The 10,402-nt window shown below is 43.3% G+C and overlaps 1 pseudogene, besides 2 other annotated features; it reads right to left on the reverse strand.

The window, feature by feature from the left end:
* Positions 1,754–2,048: a silencer, noted in NCBI's record as "tiled region #13710; HepG2 Repressive non-DNase unmatched - State 24:Quies". NCBI's record gives its function as "represses a minimal TATA promoter and a strong SV40 promoter by Sharpr-MPRA in HepG2 cells {active_cell/tissue: HepG2}" and the evidence as "EXISTENCE:reporter gene assay evidence [ECO:0000049][PMID:27701403]".
* Positions 1,754–2,048: an enhancer, noted in NCBI's record as "tiled region #13710; K562 Activating DNase matched - State 24:Quies". NCBI's record gives its function as "activates a minimal TATA promoter and a strong SV40 promoter by Sharpr-MPRA in K562 cells {active_cell/tissue: K562}" and the evidence as "EXISTENCE:reporter gene assay evidence [ECO:0000049][PMID:27701403]".
* On the reverse strand, positions 5,841–7,228 carry LOC392555 (MAGE family member C2 pseudogene; annotated as a pseudogene).

The raw sequence follows: 10,402 nt of genomic DNA on the forward strand, positions 1-10,402 counted from the left end.
TGTGCTATTATATATAATATTTGCATATATATATTAGCACATCTGTATTTCTAAAAGCCTAAAATAATCTTTTAAAATTTACATACCACATTGTTAATTGTGGAAACTTCTGAGTAGGGGGCTGAATTTTGGAGAAACTTTCTAAAGGAAAGAAATGTGATTTCTATGTATTTTAAGAAATTTTTGCAACAAGAATATATGCAGTATTTATTTAGAAGAAAAAATATTAAAGTAAGTCCAAGAAAAGGAAGAGGAGCAGTGTAGTAGTCAGATAAAGTAACAGTAAGCTGATGGAACAAAAAAATTGCTGAAATTAAAATGGCTTAACCCAAGTTTATTTTTGTGCACATAAATTCTAACCTGAGTTGACATGGTGCTACGGGCTGAATTGCAGCTCTCTTCCCAAATTCATTTATCCAGGTCATAACCCCTAGTACCTCAGAATGTCACTGTATTTGAAGGTAGAGCCTTTGAAGAGGCCATTAAGATATAGTAAGGTCTTATAAGTAGGACCTGATTCAGTATGACTGGTGTCCTTATAAGAAGAGGAGATTAGGACACAGACACAAAGACCAAGGGACAACCACATAAGAATTCAGTGAGAAGGTTGTCATCTGCAAGCCAAGGAGAAGCCACAGAAGAAATCAAACTGGCCAACATATTGATCTTGGATAATCCAGCTTCCAGAAATGTGAGAAAATACATTTCCATTTTTAAGTCACCCAGTCTGTGGTATGTTGTTATGGTATAATAAACTAATACACAGTGGATCCTGGCTCTCATGTCACCCAGGAATCCAAGCTGATTTTACCCCATAGCTCCAAATCACAACATATGTTAACTCTTAAACAGACATGAAAGCATTCGAATGATGCACTGGCTTCTGTCTAACTACAAATGAACCACTCAGGAAGACAAGGTAGACAAAAAAGCGATGGGCACTTGTAATCTCTCCCATAAGCCATTATGGTGCTTAATTAAAAGCAGCTTTTATAATTCATGACAGTAAGTCTTTTATTTTATTGGAATGGTTTATGGGAATGCTAGCATTGCCTTGAAATCTTCCAACTTATTCTTGTTCTTATGAGGTGACTGGCAATTTGAAATACAGGATTACATCTAGCTTTAAAACAATTCCTTAAGTCTTGGCAGGGAGGGTCAACCTTATTCCCTCAATAGCACTTTTCTGCACTGTCCTTTTTATAACCTATATGATTTCTTTAGGCTGAAAATTTTCTCATTCATTTTGGTGTATGACAAATATCCTACTCTGAGAGCCTCTGCTTCCCTCCACATGACTAAACATTTCTGATCAGCTGTACATGTGCCTGTGGCATACTGCAAACCAGGATTTTCCTGCGAGGCAGATATACAGACAAGAGAGAGAGGAAAGATGGTTAACCATTGTTGGTTTTTCTCATTAGAGCTAGCATCTCTGCCACGGAACCCTTGTCACCTCCTAGGCAGTCTTTGTGATTTTGTTATTATTTTGTTTTTTTAAAAAAAATTCAGCTTCCAGTAGATCATTTACAAAGTGATTTTATAGTCTTTCTTCATCTACAAAGATTATGAAGGAAACGTTGGTTTTTGATCACCTATGAAAGCTCATTCAACTATGTTTGGGTTCAGTGCACTGTTTCAAATAATGCCTCGTATTAAAATCCTACCACAAATATCACATGTTAGGATTCTTTCAAATACCCTATCTCTGACTTTAGAGTTACATCTCTAAAACCAGTATATTATGTGGCAAATCAGATTCTACTCACCGGTCTATGTGGAAATACATTGAGAGTGTGTTGAAGATGCCCAGGGTAAGTATTGAAATGTCACTATCCAAAGTGAATAGTCACATCGAAGGGCTGTTATCACAGAGGACTCAGGGGGAGGGATGGATGACTCAGGGAACTTCTGCATGGAGTAAGAATGGTCTATCTTGGGGAAGGGCAGGTGATTCAGGGCTTTTGCATTGGGAGCAGGGCACAGCATTCAGAGGGAGAGACACTAGTGACAAGCTAGTCCCCTGGACAAGAGACCATACAGGGAAGATCAAAAGGACAGTGCTGTAATGTGGGAAAGTACTGGGGCTGGACAAAACTGCCAGCACCTGGACATAGTCAGTTCTCAAGAAACCCTGGGCTTAGAACAGGAGGACTTTAGGTAAAGAAAGCCAATAATGATCCCTGAATTGTACTTTATTCTCATTATCACACCTTCATTCTTTAGGCCTAACTTACAACTTTGGCCACAGGGTTCATCTTTATGTTACTTGAGAGACATTAAGAAGCGTGAAGAGAACTGACTTAGATTAAAGGCTGTCCTCGGGCTGGGAGAAGTGGGGACAGTGTGGGCCTAGATCAAATTCAGGGCAGGGCTCAAGTCCGAGTCACTTTCTAGCAATGTGATATTGGGGAATTAAATAAGAGATATGAGCCTTCCTCAGGCTGGGAATAGTGGGGACAGTATGAGTCTAGATGAATTCAGAGCAAGGCTCGAGTCCCAGCCCTGTCACTCTCTAGCGATGCGATCTTGTGGAATTTATCAAACCCTATGAGCCTCAGGTTTTTCATCTGTAAAAGGGGCTTCATAAGCCCTGCCTTGTAGAATTGCTGGAATGGATGTAATGTGAGTAAAACACCTGGAACAATGCCTGACATATATTGGAAATTTAACAAATGGCAGTTGTTATCGATATGATCATAACCCCAAAGGCTACCACTGTCTTTTGTGAAAATTCAGCTGTTTTTGTTATCCAAAATATGTCAGCATATGTAGTTGAATATGTCATGGAGTACCAACTCAACCAAAAATTCAGCTTCACAAATAAAACTCAGCACATTTTCTTTCTGAAATGATATATTGTATAATTTGGGTAAGGGGAGAATTCCCCAGGTGGAATGCAACTCAGTGATCCTAGAATTTGAGTCAAGGACCAACTCCTTTTCATCTTCCCCAATGCTCGTCCATCCAAACCACTACTTTTATTTGTCCTCCACTCAAAATAGCCCTTGCTGAGAGTTGGCCAACTTACATTCAAAATAACCTAATTAAATGTCCTTTCTATGAAGTGGGCTCTGGCTCTCCTAGGCCAGGGAAGTGAGTGCCAGCCTAGAGTGTTCTGGGAAGCACTTCAAGGGATTATCATTCTATTTCTCAGGAAACCCTTGCAGATGATGGGTATCAATCACCTAGTTCTTGCACCGCGTTCAAGCTCACCAGTTAGAGAGCTGCAGGACACCTTCCATTACTTCCCTATGTGGAGACTCCTCTCTGCCTCATCCTCCACCCAGAAGCAACTGCTCAGAGCAATTTTCCATTCCACGTTTTTCTCTCACCTTCTGAGAGTCTGGTTGCTGCCAACACCCAGCTTCATAACAATCAGCTCCCACAGAAGCAACTGCAGTTTTCCAAAGCCCCAAGCTGCCTTAGCTCAGGGCCTTTATACTGGAAGGCTCACATTGGAATCTAACCTCCCCAGTCCTTTTTTTGTTTTGTTTTGTTTTCAATTATAAGTTTATTTAATTTAACAAATAATATATTCATATGATCTATTTCTTCTCAAAGGTGGTTTTGTAGTTTGCATCTCTCAAGGAAATTTTCAATTTCGTCAAAGTTGTAAAACTTATAGGCATGAAATTTGTAATAATATTCCCTTACTGTCCTTTTACTATCTGAAAGCTCTATACTGGTATTCCTATTTATTTTACTCCTGACATAAGTAAAAAACTTCTACTTTTTTTTCTTTTTCTTTTTTTTTCTTAAATGATAATGGCATTTATTATTTCACATAAGAGGAAACCTGGACATACATAAGCTTCTGGATGGGTTTATCCAGTACTTCTTTTTTTTATTATTATTATGATACTTTAAGTTTTAGGGTACATGTGCACAATGTGCAGGTTAGTTACATATGTATACATGTGCCATGCTGGTGTGCTGCACCCATTAACTCGTCATTTAGCATTAGGTATATCTCCTAATGCTATCCCTCCCCCCTCCCCCCACCCCACAACAGTCCTCACAGTGTGATGTTCCCCTTCCTGTGTCCATGTGTTCTCACTGTTCAATTCCCATCTATGAGTGAGAACATGCGGTGTTTGGTTTTTTGTCCTTGCAATAGTTTACTGAGAATGATGATTTCCAATTTCATCCATGTCCCTACAAAGGACATGAACTCATCATTTTTTATGGCTGCATAGTATTCCATGGTGTATATGTGCCACATTTTCTTAATCCAGTCTATCATTGTTGGACATTTGGGTTGGTTCCAAGTCTTTGCTATTGTGAATAGTGCCGCAATAAACATACTAAAGAACAAAGCTGGAGGCATCACGCTACCTGACTTCAAACTATACTACAAGGCTACAGTAACCAAAACAGCATGGTACTGGTACCAAAACAGAGATATAGATCAATGGAACAGAACAGAGCCTTCAGAAATAACGCCGCATATCTACAACTATCTGATCTTTGACAAACCTGAGAAAAACAAGCAATGGGGAAAGGATTCCCTATTTAATAAATGGTGCTGGGAAAACTGGCTAGCCATATGTAGAAAGCTGAAACTGGATCCCTTCCTTACCCCTTATACAAAAATTAATTCAAGATGGATTAAAGACTTAAATGTTAGACCTAAAACCATAAAACCATAAAAACCCTAGAAGAAAACCTAGGCATTACCATTCAGGACATAGGCATGGGCAAGGACTTCATGTCTAAAACACCCAAAGCAATGGCAACAAAAGCCAAAATTGACAAATGGGATCTAATTAAACTAAAGAGCTTCTGCACAGCAAAAGAAACTACCATCAGAGTGAACAGGCAACCTACAAAATGGGAGAAAATTTTCGCAACCTACTCATCTGACAAAGGGCTAATATCCAGAATCTACAATGAACTCAAACAAATTTACAAGAAAAAAACAAACAACCCCATCAAAAAGTGGGCAAAGGATATGAACAGACACTTCTCAAAAGAAGACATTTATGCAGCCAAAAGACACATGAAAAAATGCTCATCATCACTGGCCATCAGAGAAATGCAAATCAAAACCACAATGAGATACCATCTCACACCAGTTAGAATGGCAATCATTAAAAAGTCAGGAAACAACAGGTGCTGGAGAGGATGTGGAGAAATGGGAACACTTTTAGACTGTTGGTGGGACTGTAAACTAGTTCAACCCTTGTGGAAGTCAGTGTGGCGATTCCTCAGGGATGTAGAACTAGAAATACCATTTGACCCAGCCATCCCATTACTGGGTATGGGTATACCCAAAGGACTATAAATCATGCTGCTATAAAGACACATGCACACATATGTTTATTGCGGCCCAGTCCTTTTTTAAGTTGTTCTTTAAATTGTAAAGAGCACCTTACCAGCTTCTTGATATGGCTTCTGCTCCAAGAATCTCCTGTTTTATCAGTAGGGATAAGTCATGCTTTTCACACTATCCGCACTATGAAGAGTGCCTTCCAAAAGCATATGCTTAAATAATGTTCAGCAAATAAAGGAGTCAGTGAGGCTTTCTTGTATTCAGAGTTAATTTCTGCTACTTTTTTGAATATGCCAAGCCAAGCAAGGGATACATATTTAATTTTTAAGAACAAGAAAATAAAGGGTATGAGGAGATGCAAATATTAGCCATCCTTCATTTTGTTCAACTATTGAACTGCTGAGTACTTTCACATTTTAAAGAAAATTCCTATTATAATACCACACTATCCTGTTACAGATCACAAAATAAGAGAAGGTTTTCCCATCTTTTTAACAAAATATAAAATTCTTACTTTTAAGTCAGATAAATGGCAATACGTAAATAATATTAATAAACGAAGATTCTGAAACCAATTAAACCTGCTATTAAAATAAAAGCATTTGAAAATAACCAAAAGAAAAACAGGTAAATCTATAAACCACCCACATGAAACAGAAATGCAGAGAACGCTGTTTTCTCTCCAGCTCCACCTGGGCCCTTCACTATGTAGGACCTCAACTGCCTTCTTCAAACACAAAGGGAAGAAACTACCCCAGACTTCATTCAGGACAGGAGAAGTTGCTGGACATGAAACTGAAGCTTGCACTGGGCATGGCAGTGGCATCATCTGTGGTGGAAATTATGGCCTGGGCTCTCTCTTCCACATCTTTCAAAGCATCCTTGTACCAGGATGGAAAGGAAATAGGGATACTATTGTATAGCTTGGCCAAAAACTCTAGTACTTTCTGCTTGGTGCTTTCTGAATGGGCTCTTGGACCCCACAGGAATTCATAACGTGGAGGAGAACTGTTGGGCACCTCCCAATACTCCAGGTAATGTTCCTGCACCCAAACTTTAGTGAGGAGCTCCCTGGGCTCCCCATAGACGAAGTGCTCCCTCCCAGCATACACCCCTATTGCCTTCAGCACTTCCCAGATGACCTCCTCAGGGGCACAGCTGCCCGTTATGAAGATCACACTCAGAATAAGAATCAGGAGGCAGTTCTCAGGCCTGCCCGTGTCATCACTACCCTCATCGGCGAGGTCTACTGTGTTTGCAAACACATAGAAATGGTCAGGGCCCACTTCTATCAGGGAAAGGCCAAAAAGAAGCTCTATGAACTCACAGGCTTTCTCGAGTATCACAGGAAAGTAGTCTTTGTACTTGGTGATGACAATCGTCAGCATCTCTGACTCTGTTATAGGCTCCTTTGTTTGATATTTGAGGAGCAGGAACTCCACTCACTCGGCCACCTTTTCATCTAGTGTATATGTGAAAAAGAACTCACTGTCTGGCAGGCCAGGACAGGTCCTGCATCCTCCTCTTTTTGGCTGCTGGACTCTTCATTCATTGGGCTGCATGAAACAGAGGAAGAGCAGGAGCTCAGAGGATTCTGGGGAGGACATTGGGAAGGACCCTGTGGAGGACTCTTGGGAGTGCTCTGGAGAAGACTTGACATCCCAGCAGAGTGCACCTCCTCCTCCTCAGGGCCACCAAGAATCAGAGAAGAGGATGAGGAGGAGGAAGAGGAGGAAAATACTAAGTAGAAAGTAGAAGAGGAAATGGAGGCTTCCTCCTCTTCCTCATCTGTGGGATCCTGTGCATCTATCCAATCCTCTATTACAACTGGGTACTGGGAGTCTTCCGCAAAGTTGGGGAATGGAACGCTTGGAAAGAGAGGCATAACGACTTCTTCAGGAGCAGCAGGTAAACATATCAACAGGGATACGGATGATGGGATCCAACAGGCCTGTGGAAGAGAGTGACGCTGTGCGTGGCCTCAGCTGATAAACTCACCCATGATGGCTCTGCCAAAGGCCGACTTACAGCTCCTCTTCTCTTAAGGTCGTGCTTCAGGGCCTCACAGGTCGCCTGTCTTCCTAGAGAGATTGTCCCCTGGGCACCTGTAAGAGGATGTGAGAAATCACCTCAGGGTACAGCTGAAAGGCGGAGCCTGAGGCACCAGGAATGACAGTAGGTGGTTACGGCTGGGTGCTGAAGAGTCTCCTCTGTTTGTAGGGGTAGAGCCTTTGTAACAAAGTTAGGGTGTGCACTCACCTTGACTCCTGGCACTTCCTGGGCCTCCCCTGCTGTGCTGACTTTAGGAAGTGCAACTCAGACCCAGGTCTTCACATCCTGGTTCCTGGAGCACCTGCAAGAGGAAGTGAGGGAGCCCCTCAGGCTAAAGACTGCAAGCAGAGCCTTGGGTCTCCCAGGGCTGACAGCTGGGGCTGGCCAGACTCACAGAGCTCCATCGTTCTGGGCTGCATGGCTCCCTCAGAATTTAATTAGCAACCTCACAGCTTCTTAGACAGGGCCAGACCCCCACCACTCTGCTGGTCTGAGGCAAAACCTCAGAGCAAATTCCACATCCCTGAGAGCAGTGGGAGGTGGTGCGGTGGCAGCCTCTGCCAACTGCCAAGCGGAGGCAGCTCCCCTGCTGACTTGCCATGGGACCCCCAGACCAAGGCCTCCCCCCTCCCCTCCACCCCTCACCCAGAAATGAGAGGGCTGCGGCTCAGCCTGAGCTGACTGGGGAGCTCTAAGAGGGCTGATACGACGAGCAGGGTGGGAATCTCCAGGAATCTGTCCTCTGAGGTGGGGGTTCCCCGACTCTTCCTCAAAGTCTTCCTATTTATTCCCTAGAGGGCCGGCACCTCCTCCCTTCTTCTATCGTGAGGACCCCTCAGCCCCCAGCGGCCATTTTCCTCTCTGGGACCTACAAGTCCCACGGCAGGGGCAGCACCCGCTACGGTTTCTTCTCTCTGTGGTGGGAGTTCGCTCAGTTCTTCCTCAGGGCCCTTACCTTGAGGATTGGCCAGGTCTAAGACTTCTCTCTGCTGAACTGAGACGAGCCTCCTCACAAAGTGCCTCATGTCCTTCGGACTCACAAAATGCAAGTCGGGAAAGCACATCCAGGAACCCTGCCGGGGTTGACCAGAGCTGACAGCAGGGGCAGCGTGTGGCGGGGCCTCCACTCTGCAGAGGAGCCAACCCCCACGTGTCAGTCTCCTTCCACCCTTTCCTGACCACTTCCTGGTCGCCCTCCACCCCTTCCTGCTCACTCCCTAAGCCTTGCTGACCTCTTCCCTCCCACCTCCCCAGTCCCTGACACCCTCCTCCTGCCCCTTTTCCCAGGGCTGACAGCAGGGAGTGTCTCTTTGCAGCCTGGGCCTCCCCTCCCTGGTGGGAGGTCATCGTCCTTCCACAGAGTTCTCTTCTTGATTGTTGGCCAGTCCTGGAGCTTCTCCATCTGCTTAACTGAAGCTGCTCTCCTCAGAGAAAACCTCCCCTCCGGCTGACTCCCAAAGTGGAAGTCAGAAAATTGTACATTTGGGGACCCTGATGGGCTCCTCCAGAGCTGGCAGCAGGCACAGGGACAGGACAGGGGGCACTACTAGTCATGGGTGTTCTCTTCCTGCCTTCCTGAGAGGCTGTGCCTGGACTCCTGATACTGCCTGGGATGCCTGACCCTGTGCATCTGAGTCTTTCACCTCCATATAAGCCCCTCCAATCCCTGAGACCTGCAAGGTGCAAGAGAGGGAGAATCACATCCATCCACAGTGGTATAAGACCTCCCATGCCCAACGCAGGGCTCCACTGCTCCTGTCTGAAATGGAGTAGGAAGGCCCCTCAGTCTTCCTCAAGGTATTAGTTCTTAAGGGGCCTCCACTCCCTCCCTCACCTGTCCAGACAGCAACATTTGTTCCTTCAGCCGCTAAAATCCATTCCAAATTTTTCCACTTTACTGCTGAGTGTGAAGTTAACATCATCGCTCCCATAGCCTATGTTAAAGGCTTCATTATTGTTGCTTCTTTTCCTATCCTTGTTTCTGAAAAAACCATTGTCTTTTCAGCAGCCCGTGATCCTTTTGAAAACCAATACGTGATTTTCGTTTTAAATACACACATCAGATTTAACTAGAATGTGAAGTTATATGTATTTTGGAAAATGCATGGAGTCCCATATCTACCAACCAAGTATCATACTGACCAGTTCCATCTGCCTAAAATTCTCCTGTGCATCCCGTTTGAAGTCAATCACTGCACTCCACAAAGCTCCTGGCAACTCTCTTCCGTTTTCAGTTCCTGTAGTTTTAACTCTTCCAATTTGTCATATGACTAGGTTCATAAGATACTGACTTAACAGTGCGCCTGTACTCTTCTTTATCACAACTAGCAAGGAATGAGAATTTCTGTTATCCTATATCCTCTCTTACATTTAGTATTTTAGATTTTCAGGTTTTAGCCATTCTCATAAGCATGTATTGGAATCTTCTTTGGTTTTCGTTTGCATCTTCCTAATGACATATGAAATTTGTCATCTTTTTATATGCTTTTTTTCCCATTGGTATAGCCTCTTTGGTAAAGTGTCTATTCAAATCATTTGCATCTTTTTGTAGATGAATAAACTTCATTTTGAGAGCATTGCTAATCCAAAAATACAAAGAGAAAACTTCATCAAATTTAGAGTTCTTGTATCTACACCACCGCCCTGCCCTGCTTGCTGTACACACACACAAAGTGTCTCTTTTTATTTATATTTTGTGTTATTATGACATGTTTGCTGCAACTGATGGAACTGTATTACCTCATTATTAAGTCCACGGTTTATGTCAGGACTCACTCTTAACGCTGAGGATACTATAGATTTTGATAAGGGTGTAATGGCAAGTATGCATCATTAGAGTATTACACAGAATTGTTTCAGCATCTTAGATCTCCTGTGTGTTCCACCTAATGATCAATCCCCCGTACACCAACACCAACCATCAGCTCCTGGAAAGCAGTCATATTTTTAGTGTATTCATCGTTGCCTGTTCCAGAATATGATATGATTGAAATTGTACATTATGTAGCCTTTTTAGAATGTTCTTCTTTCACTTAGCAATAGGCTTTCACGATTCCTCCAGGTCCATCCCACTAA

This window comes from Homo sapiens, chromosome X (genome assembly GCF_000001405.40).
Source record: "Homo sapiens chromosome X, GRCh38.p14 Primary Assembly".
In the NCBI taxonomy this organism is placed as follows: Eukaryota; Metazoa; Chordata; class Mammalia; order Primates; family Hominidae; genus Homo; species Homo sapiens.